Genomic DNA, 17,569 nt, shown 5'->3' on the forward strand with positions numbered 1-17,569 from the left:
TTGCAGAGAATGGGGAGGAACTCCAGAGCTTTCAGAAGTAACTTTGTAATCTCCTAAATCAAGTAATTAGCTTTAGAACATTTCTAATGTAGCATATAACTTACGTCCATATTTTAAAATGTATGTTCTGGGAGGAAGAAAGCCTTTTACAGCAAAAGTTCCAGGTTATACCTGATTATCCACTTATTTTAATAATTATTCATCCCTGCCTACAAAAAAATGGAGCATGCAATGGATTTGGCTACAAGGGAAGTCAACCTGTCCTGCAAGCCTGGTGTGTGTGCTCGCGGGGACTGGAGGGGTGGGGCGTCAGAGCCACGATGCTCCGCAGTAATAACGCAGGTGACTCTCTGTCCCTTAGGGTGAAACTGGATGTTCATTTTCCAGGTCGAAGCCGCTGGTCTCAGCTGTGTTTTCACCGGTTCCCTGAAAGAGAATACCCTGTACCTTCACAGAGCCAGGTAAACCCAGAACCTGCCAGAAGGGCAAGAAACCTCAAGTCGTACTGGGATTATCATTTTCCATTTCAGAGAGAGGGTCTTCTTGGTGGGTTCTTGTGCCTTCTGCTGATGGTAAAGCTGAGACTCTGGTGACTGTTGACACACACCTGTCAAAGGCATGCCTCACAGGCAGCCCAGAACTCAGGCGCAGCCCCTTCCGAACCCCGCCTGGGACTGCAGAGGACAGGGGAGCTCACGGGGCCGTCTGCCACGCCACAAAGGGCTCCAGCAGCTGGGTTTGCACGCTAGGCTTCTTCGACAAACTGGGACAGCTGCTGCTTATTCCGGGCAGTTTCTGAGGCAGCACGTTCAGACGACTTCCTGCTGCATTAGGAAGCTCCGTCTTGTGAGCCCTGGGGAGGCCGGCAGGTTGGAACCTTCAGAGCCTTTAATCCCCCAGAGCGCTTGACTTGTAGGGCTCGGGAAATCTCCGCAGCAGGTTTCCATGACCTAAGCAGCTGATTGCTTTTGAATAAAATCAGATGCCCTGCTCCAGCCCTTCTGCTGGGCCAGCCCTCCGTCCCAGAGGAGCTCTCCTGCTTTGTGGACCTCTCTGCCTGCCCCCCACAGCCGCCCCCACAGCCGCCCCCACAGCCCTGTGTGGTATTGGATGAATCGGACTTGTCTGTGTTCCTCAGATCTATGCTTCAGGCCATGTCCTTGGCATGGGGTGTCTGGCACAGAGGTTTGGATCACATGTTCACTGAGTGAACCTTGGGGCACAGAGGCACACATAACCATTTGAATCCTGACCACGTCCCCCCTCTTCTCATGCAGCGAACTTGGCGCTGAAGGTCACAGCACACGTGGTCCCGGTGATTATGGAGCGCTTCTCTCCTGGCCTCCATTGCAGTAGTCATCCAAGGAGCTTTCTCCCATTCAGAAGCGACTTATGCAATTCTTCACTGGGGTGCTGAGCTCTTACTGGCAAGCTAACTAATGCCATTTTGTTAGACTGTCTTTCCCTCACTCCTTCCTTTTCATTTGACTTTTTCCCCCTAAAATCTCTAATGAATCACACGCTTGGGTCGAGTGGGCAGTCTGCGAGCTACACTGAGCAAACCCACCACGCCCCCTCTTCTCTGGTTCCTGACTTGCCGTAGTGGTGGGTTTAAGCTTTACTTGGCAGAGGTCCTAGAATACAGTTGTCAGCAACAACCAGAAAAAGGGCTTGACGTTGGCGGTGGAAGGCAGCGGCTCTCAAGCCTCAGTGATGAGGCTTGCGTGTTACTGGATCCCCCCGAGACCTACTCACTCAGAATGATTTTTATAAATGGAGATAAAATTCACCTAACGTTATATTTACCATTTTTATGTGCACGATTCTGTGGTTTTTAGTGTATTAACAATGCTGTGCAACCATCACCACTATCTAATTCCAGGACTTTTCATCGTCCCAAAAGAAACTCTGAGCCATTAGCAGTCACTCCCCATCGCCCCTCTTCCCATCCTCTGGAACCCCCTTGCCGGCTTTCTGTCTCTGTGAATTTACTTATCATGGATATTTTATTTTATTTATTTTATTTTTTGAGACAGTCTCGCTCTGTCTCCCAGGCTGGAGCGCAGTGGCGTGATCTTGTCTCACTGCAACCTCTGACTCCCGGGTTCAAGTGATTCTCCTGCCTCAGCCTCCCGAGTAGCTGGGACTACAGGCGCCCGCCACTGCACCCAGCTAAGTTTTGTATTTTTTGGTAGAGACAGGGTTTCGCCATGTTGACCAAGCTGGTCTCAAACTCCTGACCTCAAGTGATCCACCCGCCTCAGCCTCCCAAAATGCTGGGATTACAGGCGTGAGCCACCGTGCCCAGCTCGGACATTTTATATAAACGGATTCCCAGTATATGTGACCTTTTCTGCCTGGCTTCTTTCTCTTAGCATAGGTTTTATCCACACTGTGGCATTAGCAGCACTTGGTTCCTGTTTGTGGCTGCATAACATTCCTGTATGGAGGCCCATATTTTGCTTCTCCGTTTATCAGTTGATGGAATTTGGGTTGTTTTCAGTTTTTGGCTATTCTAGTAATGCCACTGTGAACATTTATGTACAAGTTTTTGTGTGAACACATGTTTTCATTTGTCTTGAGTGTACATCTCGGAGTGGGGTCACCGGGTCACATGAGAACTCCATGTTTAAATTTTTGAGGAACTGCCAGACTGTTTTCCACTGTGGCTGTGACATTTTATATTCCCACCAGCAATGTACAGGGGTCCAATTTTTCCACATCCTTTCCAACACTTGTTGGGTTTTTTTTTTCCATTTGTTTGACTATAACGACCCTAGTGGATGTGAAGTGGTATCTTGTAGTTTTAATTTACGTTTCCATAATGACTAATGATATTGATCACCTTTCATGTGCTTATTAGCCATTCACATACTTCCTCGGGAGAAATATCTATTCAGATCCTCTGCCCATGTTTAAATTGGGTTGTTTGTCATTTGTTGTTGAGCTCCAAGAGTTCCTAACATCCTGGATACTGGACTCTTATCAGATACGGGACTTGCAGCTCTTTTTTTTTCCACCGTTACTTGTCATTCATTTTCCTGGTCCTGTTCTTTGATATACAAGAGTTTCATTGGAATGAAGTCCAATTTATCTTTTTTTCTTTTGTTGCTTGTGCTTTTGGCATTCTGTTTCAGAAACCAATGTCTCATCCATGGTCATGAAGATGTACAGTCTGTTTTCTTCTACGTGTGTTTTGGAGTTTTAGCTCTTACATTAAGGTCTTTGATCTAGTTTGAATTAGTTTTTATATATAGTGTGATGTAGGCATCTTGGTCCATTCAGTGTTGCTATAAAGGAATACCTGGAGCCAGGTAATTCATTTTAAAAAGAAGCTTGTGATGTCATCATGATTCTGATGTCTGGAAAAGTTCAAGATCAGGCATCTGCATCTGAGGAAGGCCACAGGCAGCTCCAGTCATGGCAGAAGATGGCGTGGAGCTGGTGTGTGCAGAGACCACACGGAGATGGAGGAAGCAAGGGCTAGGGGTGCCAGGCGGGTTCAACAGCCAACTCTGGAGTGAACTCATAGAGCGAGAACTCACTCATTACCATGAAGACACCTCCCAGCCATGCATGAGGGATCAGCCCCCATGACCCAAACCCCTCCCATTAGGCCCCACCTCCGACACTGGGTATCAAATTCCAATATAAGATTTGGAGGCCAATATCCAAACGATAGCAGGGTCCAACTTTATTTTTTTACATGTGGATAACCGTTTGTTGGAGACACTATTACTTCTCCATTGAATAGTCTTGACGACCTTGTCAAAAGTGAACTGACGGTAGATTTATGGGTTCATTTCTGGACTTTCAATTCTGCTCCATTGATTTTTATGTCTCTCTTTACACTAGTACTACACTCTTGATTGCTGTAGCTTTATACTCACTTTGAGTAAGTAGTAATGTACTAGTCCATGTTCGCATTCCTATAAAGGAATACCTGAGACTGGGTAATTTATAAAGAAAAGAGGTTTAATTCGCTCATGGTTCTTCAGGCTGTAAAGGAGGCACGGTGCCAATGTCTGCTAAGCTTCTGGGGAGGCTTTGGGAAGCTTCCAGTTATGGCAGAAAGCAAAGGGGGAGCAGGCACGTTACATGGTGAAAGCAAGAACAAGGTTGCGGGGTAGGTACCACACACTTTTAAACGAACAGATCTCATTTCGACACAAGATTTAGGTGGAGGCATGTAATAAAATGATATCAAGTAAGTTTGAGCCCTCCAACTTTGTCCTTTGTCAAGTTTGTTTTGGCTACCTTGCATTTCCAATAGAATTTTCAACTTGTCAATAGAATGTTCAACTTGTCAATGTCTTCAAAAAAGTTACTGGGATTTTCATATGGATTGGATTGACTCTGTTGATCAATTTAGGGAAGATTGCCATCTTAACAATATTAAGTCTTCCAATACATGAGCATGGAATGTCTTTTCATTTATTTAGTCTTAAAATTTCTTCCACCAATGTTTGTAGTTTTCAGTTTTCAGTGTAGGTTTCAGTTTCCACTCCTTGGTTAAATTTATTTCTAAGTATTTTATTCTTTCTGATGCTCTTATAAATGGAATTTTTTTAACTTCCTTTTCCGATTATTCATTGCTTTTGTATAGAAATACAACTGATTTTTTTTACCGATCTCATGTCTTGCAACTTTGCTGAACCCATTCTCATAGTGATGTGTGTGTGTGTGTGTGCGCATGTGTATGTGTATGTGTGCGTGTGTGTTCTTTAAGGTTTTCTGTACATAAGATCATAAGATCAAGTCATCTCAAAATATAGTTTTACTTTTTTCTTTTGAGTGTGGATGCCTTTTATTTCTTTCTCTTGCCTAATTTTTCTGACTATAATTTCCAGTTCAATGTTAAGTAGAACTGATGAGAGCAGGTATTTCAGTCTTGTTCCTGGTCTTAGGGGAAAGAATCCAGTCTTTCACCGTTGACTATGGAGTTAGCGGTGAGTTTTTCCTACGTGGACCTTGTCATGTGGAGGAAGTTCTCTTTTAGACCTAGTTATTGATTGAGTTTTTTGTTTAATCAGGAAAGGATGTTAGACTTCGTCAAATCCTTTTTCTGCCTCTATTGAAATTATCGCATGATTTTTCCCTTCATCCTATAAATGAGCGTATTATAGTAATTTTGTGTATTGTGCCACCCGTGTATTCCTGTGATAAATCTCTATGGTAAACGATCAAATGGTCATCATGTATAATCCTTTTAATATGAAGCTGGATTTATTTTGCTCATGTCTTGTGGAGGATTTTTGCCTCTGTTTTCTTCTCTCTCTCTCTTTTTTTTTTTTTTTTTTTTTTGAGATGGAGTTCTCACTCTGTTACCCAGGCTGGACTGCAGTGGCGCGATCTCGGCTCACTGAAACCTCCGTTCCCAGGTTCAGGCAATTCTCCCTGCCTCAGCCTCCCGAGTAGCTGGGATTACGGGCACCTGCCACCACACCCCGCTAATTTTTGTATTTTTAGTAGAGACAGGTTTTTGCCATGTTGGCCAGGATGGTCTCAAACTCCTGACCTCAGAGGATCCACCTGCCTCGGCCTCCCAAAGTGCTGGGATTACAGGCATGAGCCACTGTGCCGGGTCTTTGTCTTTAGACAGTTTGTGGTGTGTCAGTGTGGATGTCTTTGAATTTATCTTACTTGGAGTTTGTTGAGTTTCTTAGATGTGTAGATTAATGTTTTTCATCGAATTTGGAGGGTTTTTAAACCATATTTCTTCAAATATTCTTTCTTCCCTGTTCCCTCTTTCCTTTCAGGACTCTCACTATGCAAAAGCTGGTACATGTGATGGTCCCACAGGTCTCTTAGGCTCTGTTCCGTTTTCTTCACTTGTTTTCTTTCTGCTCCTCAGATAGGATAGCATGAAATGATGTATCTCCAGTTTCTCTGCTTATTTCTTCAGCGTGTTCATAGCTGCTGCTGAGACCCTCTAATGAGCTTTTCATTTCAGCTATTACACTTTCAACACCAGAATTTCTATCACTTTTTTTTAATATAACTTCTGTCTCTTTATTGATATTCTGTATTTGGTGAGACATCATTCTCACAAATTCCTCTAGCTCTTTGAAGATATTAAATAAGCTTATGTGAAATCTTTTCTGGTGAGTCCAATATCTGTGTTTCTTCAGTGATATTCTGTTTTAGTTCCTTTTTCCTGTCTATGAGCTACACTCTTGTATTCTTTGTATGCCTTGTAATTTTTTGTTGAAAATGAAATTTTTAATAAGTGGCAGTTCTGGAAATCAGACTCTCCCCTCTCCCCAGGAGTTTTTGTAGCTACTGTGGTTTGTTGAGTAACTTTTGTGAACTAATTTTGTAAAGTCCATATTCTTTGTCTGATGTGGCCACTGATGTCTGTTCCAATAGCTTAGAGGGCAGCAAGTGGTGGGACATATAGATTCTTAAACGTCTGGAATGAAAACTGAAACTTGTTTTTGCAGATGGGCTCTGCGTGTCTTGGAGCAACCTTCAGCACTCATCCAGGCTGGTCAAGCCTCTGTCTTATCACCTCCTGCTCGCAGAATCTGAAGGTCAGCCCGAGGAGGCACTTCAGGGACTTCTCGGGTTTTTCCCGGCATGTGCGCAGCCGAGGCGTGTGCGTGGCATTCCAGATTCCCGGGAACTCTTAGAACTTTATCAGGCCTTCATTTCCTAAATCATCTCATTCCCCAGCCTTTCGTCCCCAGCTTTTTGTTTAGCCTGTGGCGGCAACCATAATCCATTGCCTCAGGCAGCAATGGCTGAAACACTTTCCTATCAATGTTTTTGACACACACTCCCCAAGTGGCTGCCTTTGCACAGACGGAGTTCCAAGACACCGGAGATGAAGGCAGGAGTTTGAGCCAGTCTTCCACGGAGTCAAAGTAATTACGATTCCTAGTCAAAGAGTCCTGTAGCTTCTCCTTCCAGTGCTGGTACCGGGAATGCAGGCTGTTGCTGTCCCCGCAGAGCTGGGGAGCGACAAAGCTTATTATTGTGACGAAGACTCAGCTGTTCTTTCTTAGTGCCCCACGGTTGGTGCAAGCTTTTGGTTAGTTTCCAGAGTTCCAAAAAAGTTGACTCTTGACAGTTTTCACCAGGTTTTCCATTGTGTTAAGGTAGGGATGGACTTTTGGAGCTCCTTATTCTGCAGTTTCTCCGCCTCACAGAATGCTGAGTAGGGCCAGGAATGCCGTTTTCCAGCAGGTCCCCTGGCTGATTCTGACGTGGCTGGTCCGCGGGACACACCGTGAGAAACTAAGCTAGGACTGCGTCTCTCCCTCCAGACATCACGGCGTCCTCACCGGTCGGTGGGGTCCGCCCTGAAACATCTGGCTCTTTGGAGTTTGCGTCGATTTGTGAAAGCTCCGTTCGACCCCGTGTTCCAAGTCCCCTAGTGTAAGAACCCGGCTGTTCCCTTGGTGATAACTCAAGGCGGGTCACCACCTGGCGGGGTCCGCTGGACGCTTGAGGGTCCCCCATGCGGACCAGGTGCAGAGGTCGGGCCTGCGGAGGAGTGGGAAGTGGGCGGGCGGAGGGGTCTCCGAGCTCACCTCCGAGGGTTCGGTGCCGGCCCGGCCCCTGGATCCCCGCGGGCGGACGCGCTCCCCCAGCTCAGCCCTCGCGACCCTAACGCGGTCCGTTCCTTTTGCAGGAGCCGGGCAGGAGCCCCTCGGTCCGGTCCGGCCCTGCGCATGGAGCCATGGCCCTGCTCCCCGGGCGGCGGCGGCGGGACCCGCGCCCGGCACGTCATCATCAACGTGGGCGGCTGCCGCGTGCGCCTGGCATGGGCCGCGCTGGCGCGATGCCCCCTCGCGCGCCTGGAGCGCCTGCGCGCCTGCCGCGGCCACGACGACCTGCTGCGCGTGTGTGACGACTACGACGTGAGCCGCGACGAGTTCTTCTTCGACCGCAGCCCGTGCGCCTTCCGCGCCATCGTGGCGCTTTTGCGCGCAGGGAAGCTGCGACTGCTGCGGGGCCCGTGCGCGCTGGCCTTCCGCGACGAGCTGGCCTACTGGGGCATCGACGAGGCGCGCCTGGAGCGCTGCTGCCTGCGCCGCCTGCGCCGCCGCGAGGAGGAGGCGGCCGAGGCCCGCGCGGGGCCGACGGAGCGCGGGGCGCAGGGGAGCCCGGCGCGCGCCCTGGGACCTCGGGGGCGGCTGCAGCGCGGCCGGCGGCGCCTGCGCGACGTGGTGGACAACCCGCACTCGGGGCTGGCGGGCAAGCTCTTCGCCTGCGTGTCCGTGTCCTTCGTGGCCGTCACGGCCGTGGGCCTCTGCCTGAGCACCATGCCGGACATCCGCGCCGAGGAGGAGCGGGTGAGCGCGGCCGGGGGTGGCGGGGACCGGGCCGGAGCTGGGGCTGGGCTGGGATCTGGGCTGCGGGGAGGTGGGTGGGGGAAGGGGCGCGGGGGCAGCCATGGCCAGGGCCTAGGACCGGGCTGGGGGCTGCCGGGACTGGGGTGGGCCGGGGCCGGGCTGGAGGCGGCCGGGCTGAGGGAGCGCCGCTGATGGTGGTCTTGGCCAACCTCCACCCCCAGCGGGAGACAACAGAGGCTCCAAGTTACATTCGGTTTCCGACGCAGCATCCGGTCCACAGGCCGCCGGAAACTGCTCAGCCCATCAGGCCTTCAAAGTTTGGACAACGTGGAGCTAAAATATTGGGTATCCGGGGCCTAGAGAATTGTGTGACATTTGGTCATTCTGGACCAAGGAGACCCAACCGCATTGTTTCAGGGCTGGAGGACAGTGCCAGGGCCAGGAAGGCTTCTGGCTATGGAACCGAGGTCTGGGTGCCGAGGTCTGTGTGCTGAGAGGTCTGGGTGCTGAGGTCTGTGTGCTGAGAGGTCTGGGTGCCGAGGTCTGTGTGCTGAGAAGTCTGGGTGCTGAGGTTTGGGTGCTGAGGTCTGTGTGCTGAGAGGACTGTGTGCAGAGGTCTGGGTGCTGAGAGGTCTGTGTGCTGAGAAGTTTGGGTGCTGAGTTCTGTGTGCGGAAGTCTGGGTGCTGAGAGGTCTGTGTGCTGAGAGGTCTGGGTGCTGAGGTCTCGGTGCCGAGGTCTGTGTGCTGAGAAGTTTGGGTGCTGAGGTCTGTGTGCTGAGAGGACCTTGTGCTGAGGTCTGTGTGCTGAGAGGACCTTGTGCCGAAGTCTGGGTGCTGAGAGGGCTGTCTGCTGAGAGGCCTGGGTGCTGAGAGGTCTGGCTGCTGAGAGGTCTGGGTGCTGAGATATCTGGCTGCTGAGAGGTCTGTGCTGAGAGGTCTGTGTGCTGAGAGTGTGGGTGCTGAGGTCTGGGTGCTGAGGTCTGTGTGCTGAGAGGTCTGTGTGCTGAGGTCTGGGTGCTGAGGTCTGGGTGCTGAGAGGTCTGGGTGCTGAGGTCTGGGTGCTGAGAGGTCTGTGTGCTGAGAGTGTGGGTGCTGAGGTGTGGGTGCTGAGAGGTCTGGGTGCTGAAAGGTCTGGGTGCTGAGAGGTCTGGGTATGAGGTCTGGGTGCTGAGAGGTCTGGGTATGAGGTCTGGGTGCTGAGAGGTCTGAGTGCTGAGAGGTCTGGGTGCTGAGGTCTGTGTGCTGAGAGGTCTGGGTGCTGAGGTCTGGGTGCTGAGAGGTCTGGGTATGAGGTCTGGGTGCTGAAAGTTCTGTGTTCTGAGAGGTCTGGGTGCTGAGGTCTGTGTTCTGAGAAGTTTGCATGCTGAGAGATCTGTGTGCTGAGGTCTGGGTGCTGAGAGGTCTGGGTGCTGAGGCCTGGGTGCTGAGAGGTCTGTGTTCTGAGGTCTGGGTGCTGAGGTCTGGGTGCTGAGAGGTCTGTGTGCTGAGAAGTCTGGGTGCTGAGAGGTCTGTGTGCTGAGAGGTCTGGGTGCTGAGAGGTCTGTATGCTGAGAGGACTGTGTGCTGAGAGGTCTGTGGGCTGAAGTCTGGGTGCTGAGAAGTCTGTGCTGAGAGGTCTGTGTGCTGAGAGATCTGGGTGCTGAGGTCTGGATGCTGAGAGGTCTGTGTGCTGAGAGGACTGTGTGCCGAGGTCTGGGTGCTGAGGTCTGGGTGCTGAGAGGTCTGGGTGCTGAGAGGTCTGTGTGCTGAGAGGTCTGTGTTCTGAGGTCTGGGTGCTGAGAGGTCTGTGTTCTGAGAGGTCTGTGTTCTGAGGTCTGGGTGCTGAGAGGTCTGTGTTCTGAGGTCTGGGTGCTGAGAGGTCGGTATGCTGAGAGGACTGTGTGCTGAGAGGTCTGTGGGCTGAAGTCTGCGTGCTGAGAAGTCTGTGCTGAGAGGTCTGGATGCTGAGAGGTCTGTGTGCTGAGAGGTCTGTGTGCTGAGAGATCTGTGTGATGAGAGGTCTGTGTGCTGAGAGTGTGGGTGCTGAGGTCTGGGTGCTGAGGTCTGTGTGCTGAGAGGTCTGTGTGCTGAGGTCTGGGTGCTGAGGTCTGGGTGCTGAGAGGTCTGGGTGCTGAGGTCTGGGTGCTGAGAGGTCTGGGTGCTGAGAGGTCTGGGTGCTGAGAGTGTGGGTGCTGAGGTCTGGGTGCTGAGGTCTGTGTGCTGAGAGGTCTGGGTGCTGAGGTCTGGGTGCTGAAGTCTGGGTGCTGAGAGGTCTGTTTTGTGAGAGGTCTGGATGCCGAGGTCTCTGTGCTGAGAGGTCTGGTTGCTGAGGTCTGGGTGCTGAGAGGTCTGTGTGCTGAGAGGTCTGTTTTCTGAGAGGTCTGGGTGCTGAGGTCTGGGTGCTGAGAGGTCTGGGTGCTGAGAGGTCTGGGTGCTGAGAAGTCTGTGTGCTGAGAGGTCTGGGTACTGTGGTCTGGGTGCTGAGGTCTGTGTTCTGAGAGGTCTGTATGCTGAGAGGTCTAGGTGCTGAGGTCTGTGTGTCTGTGTGCTGAGAGGTCTGTGTGCTGAGAGTGTGGGTGCTGAGGTGTGGGTGCTGAGGTCTGTGTGCTGAGAGGTCCGTGTGCTGAGAGGTCTGTTTTCCGAGAGGTCTGGGTGCTGAGGTCTGGGTGCTGAGAGGTCTGTGTTCTCAGAGATTTGGGTGCTAAGAGGCCTGGGTGCTGAGAGGTCTGTGTGCTGAGAGGTCTGTGTGCTGAGAGGTCTGGGTGCCGAGGTCTGGGTGCTGAGAGGTCTGGGTGCTGAGGCCTGGGTGCTGAGAGGTCTGGGTGCTGAGGTCTGGGTGCTGAGAGGTCTGTGTGCTGAGAGGTCTGTGTGCCGAGGTCTGGGTACCGAGGTCTGGGTGCTGAGAGGTCTGGGTGCTGAGAGATCTGGGTGCTGAGAGATCTGGGTGACTAGACCTGGGTGTGGATCTTCCTGCCCCTGTCTTAGACTTCCTGCCCCATCCGTCCTGTCCCACTAACCTGACAAGGCCTGGGCAGAAGTGTGTGTCCTTGTGGGTCAACCTATGTTACCATGAGGAGGCAAGAGAAGGCAAAAGCTTGCCAGCATGTGTCATGTCTGGGGAAGAAGTGAGCTCAGCATGTGTCATGTCTGGGGAAGGAGTGAGCTCAGCGTGTGTCGTGTCTTGGGGGGGGGACCGTGAGCCCGGCGTTGTGTCGTGTCTGGGGGGGGGATCGTGAGCCCGGCGTGTGTCGTGTCTGGGGGGGGACCGTGAGCTCGTCGTGTGTCGTGTCTGGGAGGGACCGTGAGCTCAGTGTGTGTCGTGTCTGGGGGGGGACCGTGAGCTCCGGGCCCTGGGCCTGGGGGTTTGTGTTGCCAGAGGGTGACATTCACGGAGAAGGGGCTGTGACTGTGTCTGAATGGGCATAGCTGAGTGTTGCCCTGAAAAAGTCTCCCTGCGTTTTCCGATGGCCACACCAGGAGGCAGAGCACCCCACCAGGTGGGGGTCGGGCACCCCTCCCCTCGGCACCGGCCTCCCTGGACTGCGTGGAGACCCCTCCACCCCTCGGGGCAGAGCACCCACCGTCAGCACCGCAGAGCCCCTGCCTACCTGGGGGACACTCATTGAAGGGCACAGCAAGAAGCTGAACTGACCCAAGCCTGCGGCCCGAGTGCCAATCTGACTTAAATACAGGTTTGGAAGTCGGCTGCTGCCTGCAGTCTGGGTGTCTGGCGGCCAGGCTGCCTTCCCCCGTCGTCCCCATGAGGTCCAGGTCCTGATCGTGCTTCCAAAAGGTGCTGGAGTGTTTGGCTGTCCTCGGTCGAATATCCAGGAGGGAAAATTCATTTGTGTCACGTTAGAGAATAGGAGAAGTTTGGGCTGCCCCAGCTACAGAAGTCACCCCAGGAACACCAGCCCTAACCCTTACTGTGGACCCCAAAACCCCAGATCCTCTCAGGGACAACCCTGGGCTCCGTGGCACCCAGCCCTTCACACTCCTGGCACGCACCCCTAAATTGCTTGTCCAGTTAAGAAGCAGTCGCCCTCCGCGTGGGGCCTGGTGACCCGTGTCCGAGCGTCCGGTTAAGAAGCAGTCGCCCTCCGCGTGGGGCCTGGTGACCCGTGTCCAAGCGTCCGGTTAAGAAGCAGTCGCCCTCTGCATGGGGCCTGGTGACCCGTGTCCGAGCGTTGCAGCTGCTGCTGACTGACCGAAGGTCTTTTTCGGAAGCGATTCAGTTGTGTGGGTGAAGAGCCAAGAAAAGGTGGTTCTCACTCCTGTCCTAAGAGAATATTTCAAAGCATGAGAATTGGCGTGTTGGTGACGTAACAAAACCGGAAGCCAGGGTGCTTCCAAGCGTCCAGCTGGGGGCTGGTGAAGGACGTCACCTTTTGTCCACTTGATTGATGGGATGTGAGAACCGTAAAATGATGGTGATTCCCGTGAGAAGATGCTCAGCCTCACTTTAATTAAATAAATACATGCTGAATCCCAGACAGTGCAAGTCCCAGCCCAGCTCAAGCCTCAGACGAGCCAAATCACTGGCTGACCATCCCAGGCCAGCTGCTGAGGGACGGCAGTGGGACCGTAACTCAGTGCTCCCTGGAGAGCACGTGGGTGCGAGCGCTTCAGTGCTGTTTGTCAGGACACGAGTTCTTGAGAACTAGGAGTCGGTGTTACTGACAGAATGTGAGCTCTCTGATGGGATGTGTGCGGGAGGCTGAGTCCAGCCACCACACGGGTCGGCTTCCACAGGGTTTCCCGCACGCACTGTGCTGTCCCAGGTGCAGGGGTGGGGATGCAGGAGCCGTGAGCACCCCTACACACAGCCCTGCAGACACTGGGGAGACCCCGAGCCAGAGTCCAGCTGGGACAGCCTCCCGGGTCTCCTGGATACCTCGGAGAATGAGGGAAGCCCAGGGTGCTGGTTGCTTTCAGTGCCCGCCCCGCGCTGAGTCTCCTGCCCCTGGGCTGCGACCTGCACAGGGGCAGTAGCTCCCTGTGGGGAGGGCTCGGCTCAGGGACCACGGAAACGCCTGGTCTGCTGCACACGGCGGGTGCGGAAGAAATAGGAAGCCTCAGTTATGTATGAGCAGGACATGCCCGTGCGTCCCCAGCAGTGCTCAGGACCTGAGAACCCGGCTTTGTCAGTGTGTGCTTGGCTCTGGGCTGCCTGGACTGGGAGCAGTTGTTGAGTCTGAGCCCACAGGGGACGCACTGGCCCACAGATGTGCTGGGACGGCCCTGGGGACCGGAAGGTGGACACCTGGACCCGCCCTGTGCTGTCCAAGCAGGCTCTGTCCTCTGCCTTCTCACGTGGGATCGTTCACTCCATTGCTGGGCCTTTCCCAGGAGAGAAAATCCGTTCTATCCCAAACCCACAGCATCTTCGTGGCCAGGCGTTAGGGTGATTTGCTCAACTGTTTATCTTGCCTGTGGCCACAGAGGTTACAAACCAAATCCTAAACATCTGTGGCCCCCAAAGTTATCCTGGATTCTCTGACCCTCAAAAAGTACATTCTAAACCCAAACACACCCACTGCACCCCCAACCTCGCCATCTTTCCTAGGAGAGGTCACCAGTGGTCACGACCTGCAGACACCTCAGCCGCCGCCACCACCACGCGGGACGGCCCGCAGCCGTGGCATGGATGTTTTAATCCAGGCTGTAGGGACACACACGGGTCTGAGGTCAGAGCTGGAGTGGGAGTTGCCACCCGTTCCCAGCTGGTGGAGGCTCAGCCAGGCAGGACCTCCCACCTCTGGGCCCCCAGCCACCTGGGGGTGGGCACCGCTCGTGCTCCCCATTGCCCTCATGGGACCTCCAGTGAGTCTGTGGCCTTCGGGAGTTTAGGCTGTGGACAGCTACTGGAGGAGGCCGAGCGACCTCTCTTCTCCCCACCGTCTGCTCCCAGACGAAGCCCCCCACGTCGAAGGCGCCCTGTGAACATACAGACGGGATCACGAGCTTCAGCTGCCGTGGGCCCTAATGGCTGCGGAATAATCGGCAGGGAGCGGTGTCTTCTGTCGTCTCTGACAGTGACAGGGCTTGATGATTGCAATGACGTGGTGTGGTTTTGGGGTCCCGTGGGCTCTCCATGGTCAGGATTGCACCAGTGTTGGCTTCCTGCTGGTGGATGTGGCCTGGTGACGCCCACCGTGAGGATCCAGAGGCTTTGGAGGGATGGGTGGTGGCAGTTTCCGTGCCCCCAGAGCTGCGCGCTCCCTCTGCGCTGGGCGGCTGCTGTGTGGCCTGGATGGTGTGAGCACCCACGGGCTGGCTGGAGGCCAGGACAGACTGTGCATCTGCTCACTGGAGACCTGCCCGCTGTTGGAGGTTTCTGGCTGGAGGTTGTTTTTCAAAATCCATTGCTTCCTTGTACATTCAGGCTGATTTTTGGCTCTGTGAATTGATTTTTTCTTTTAAACTCACATGATTAAATTGAGACCAGTATAATTAGTTATAGATTTCATGACTGGGATTTGAAGCATTGAATTCACTGAGAACATTTTTGCAACAGCTTTAAAAGCTGGTAGCCAAGTTTCTTCTGCACGTGGGCAGACGTCACAGACACCGAGTTGTGTCAGCTCACAGAGCGAGTTTTGTGGATGCCGAGTTGTGTTGATCAGGGTTCTCCAGAGGTGCAGGATGAAAGGGTGTGGCTGATTGGCAGGCGTCAGCTCACCCGGTCCTGGAGGCTGGAGGCCCCACGCTGCAGTCAGCACACCTGAGACCAGCAGAGCCTGGGTCTGAGTTCCAATCCAAAGACCAGCACCGAGAGACCAGAGCTGTGGTTTCCGTCGAGCCTGAGGCAGGAGGAAGGTCCTAGCCTGTGGCCAGGCAGGAGGAGTCCCTTGCACTGGGGAGGGTCAGCCTTCGTGTCAGGCACAGGCCTCCGGGGTCCGCCGTGAGGGTGTTCTGTCCACCTGCACCTGCGTGAGGCTAAGCCTTATGAGCTGACAAATCGCACCTCCCGCCTCCTGGCAGCGCAAAACGTGCTTGCGTCTGTCGCAGCCTGTCCTGTGGGGGACCCTTGGAGCCCTGAACGGCCTCATGGCAAGGATGGACATAGGGTGTGGACAGGACGTGGGGTGTGGCCTGTCCCTACAGCCGCAGGCAGAGTTGTCCTGGACCTGAGCACCAGCTGGCAGGTTCTGCGTTCAGAGCTGATTTCTTCAGAAAGAGCAGGCAGTGGGGCTCCTAGGGCAGCTGCTCTGGGCCATGGCCCCTTCCCATCCATGTGGTATAACAAGGGCTGTATTAGGGCCACAACAGATCCAAACTTGAGAATCTCGGGGGACGTCAGGCGGGGCTGACGTCTTGCGGCAGCAAGTCGAGTGGGCGGTGCAGGACCAGCCGGTGGCCCCCCGCGTCTGGGAGGCTCCCACACCACCAGTCTCCACCCAGGGGCAGTAGAGGGAGGGGAAGGCGGCCCCCTATGACGCCTTGGCAGAGCCTCTGCGTCCGTCTGCGTCCCGTTGGCCTGGACGTCTGCGGTGCAGAGGGGCCGGCATCACATCCTAACCCAGAGGCCACAGGCCTGAGCAAAGCTGCGGCTGCTCTTTACCAGGGAGGCAGGTGCCAGTCAGCAGCGTCTGCCACTGCGACATTGGCAGCAAATTCCTGCCAGCACCGAGTGAGGACCCGCAGCAGATGTGTCACCAGGGCCAGCTGCTCTGGGGCCGCACAATGCCACCGGACCAAGCTCTGGGAGGCGGGCAGGGCCCAGTGATGGCAACGCTCCTGCACGTGCGGCCGGCCGCACACCCCTCAGCCCTTGGCACCCCTGTGGAGGGATCAGAGACCCTGCAGAGGCTCGTGGAGGCCTGCAAACGGCAGGGCCTGGAAACTCCATGGGCAGGGGAGGAAGATAACAGGCTGCATTCTCTGCTCTGCTTCCTGCACAGATTTGATGGGGAAAACATCGAAGATTTGTGTTTTGGATTTTCACTTTAGTCTGGCAAAAAAAAAAAAAAAGCTAAAATCCCTGATATAAAAGCTTCAAAGCTTCAGTTTTTTTTTTTTTTTTTTTTTTTGAGATGGAGTCTCACTCTGTCACCAAGGCTGGAGTGCAATGGCGCAATCACAGCTTACTGCAATCTCCACCTCCCGGGTTCAAGTGATTCTCCTGCCTCAGCCTCCCGAGTAGCTGGGATTACAGATGCACCACCACGCCCAGCTAATTTTTGTGTATTTTTAGTAGAGACGGGTTTCACCATGTTGGCCAGGCTGGCCTTGAACTCCTGACCTCAGGTGATACACGCACCTTGGCCTCCCAAAGTGCTGGGATTACAGGCGGAGGCACCGCGCCCGGCCAATTCTTTTTCCATAAAATCCCTCCCAGGTCTCCGGTCTCTCTTCTTGCTGCAGTACGAGGCGCAGTTGCGGGCTGGCTTAGTTCTCAGACTCTGAGTGTGACTGGCGCTCCCATCCAGCTCTGGCTCTGACAGCGGCAGGGCTTGAAACATTCTCTCCATTCTGAGCCTGTTTCCTCACCAAACAAATGCAGATTCTTCAAAGCTGTTGAGATTAAGTTGAATAATTTACGTGCCTTGCTTTGGACAGTGCTCAGCACACAGAATCACACAGCGAGGTCTCTCTCCCCTTTTGCAAACGAGGGAAGCGAAGCCTCGTGTGGCCCCCTGTGTGGCGGCCGTGGGGAGGGTCTGTGGGGTGGGGACCGCCCCTCCGGGAGCCGGCGTGTGCTGTCCTCCTCTGATGACATAGCAGGAGTGGTCAGTGTGCAGAAATAGTGGGGAGGCTCACAAAAGGACCTGCTAGGAAGAAGCCAGGTAGCTCTGCCGGTTGGGCCTGGGGACAGGATGGGCAGCAGGGTGGGCCAGGGTGGTTTTGGAAAGACAGCACTCGGGCAGGAAAACAGGAATGAGAGTTCTTGCTTTGGGCCTCGGTCCCAGGCTTGAGGCCCTCTCGGGGGACCACCCTCTCCACCCAGCGTTTCTCGCCTCCTGTCCGTATCACTTGGGAGACTTCCCCTTTCTTCTTCGTGGACTTTGTTTTTTCCCAGGCTGTTGTTTTTCTCAGTTCTGTGCCCTGCAGGGGTCTCTGTGTGCTCCCCGCCTCCCCAGGCCTCCCCCACACTCCCGTTCCCTCTGTCACTCCCCGTGCTGGCCCACGGGTGCCGCTCCTGCCGGCCCCCCTCCCCCCCCCCCAGCCACCTCCTGTCAGTCTTCCCAGATCCTCTGCGTGGCCACCGGCCCCTCTGAGCACATCCAGCCTGCGCTTGGCCTGTATGCAGCTGTGAGGGGCGTCGGGGAGCCGGCCCTAGCTGTCCG

The 17,569-nt window shown here is 54.0% G+C and overlaps 1 protein-coding gene across 1 annotated transcript in view, besides 3 other annotated features; it reads left to right on the forward strand.

Annotated features, from left to right (window-relative positions):
• The window catches only part of KCNG2 (potassium voltage-gated channel modifier subfamily G member 2), a 102,163-nt gene that overhangs the window by 58,054 nt on the left and 26,540 nt on the right, over window positions 1–17,569 (forward strand). The window contains exons 2-3 of the mRNA NM_012283.2: window positions 388–461; window positions 7,637–8,300. Coding sequence (NP_036415.1) covers window positions 7,677–8,300 — 624 coding nt within the window. The 5' untranslated portion in view covers window positions 388–461; window positions 7,637–7,676. The remainder of the gene's footprint in view (window positions 1–387; window positions 462–7,636; window positions 8,301–17,569) is intronic.
• Window positions 718–1,012: a silencer, noted in NCBI's record as "tiled region #1017; K562 Repressive non-DNase unmatched - State 10:DNaseD". NCBI's record gives its function as "represses a minimal TATA promoter and a strong SV40 promoter by Sharpr-MPRA in K562 cells {active_cell/tissue: K562}" and the evidence as "EXISTENCE:reporter gene assay evidence [ECO:0000049][PMID:27701403]".
• Window positions 718–1,012: an enhancer, noted in NCBI's record as "tiled region #1017; HepG2 Activating non-DNase unmatched - State 4:PromP". NCBI's record gives its function as "activates a minimal TATA promoter and a strong SV40 promoter by Sharpr-MPRA in HepG2 cells {active_cell/tissue: HepG2}" and the evidence as "EXISTENCE:reporter gene assay evidence [ECO:0000049][PMID:27701403]".
• Window positions 794–923: an enhancer, noted in NCBI's record as "active region_13546". NCBI's record gives its function as "activates an Ori minimal core promoter by ATAC-STARR-seq in GM12878 lymphoblastoid cells {active_cell/tissue: GM12878}" and the evidence as "EXISTENCE:reporter gene assay evidence [ECO:0000049][PMID:35858748]".

Source organism: Homo sapiens, chromosome 18 (assembly GCF_000001405.40).
Source record: "Homo sapiens chromosome 18, GRCh38.p14 Primary Assembly".
Lineage (NCBI taxonomy): Eukaryota > Metazoa > Chordata > Mammalia > Primates > Hominidae > Homo > Homo sapiens.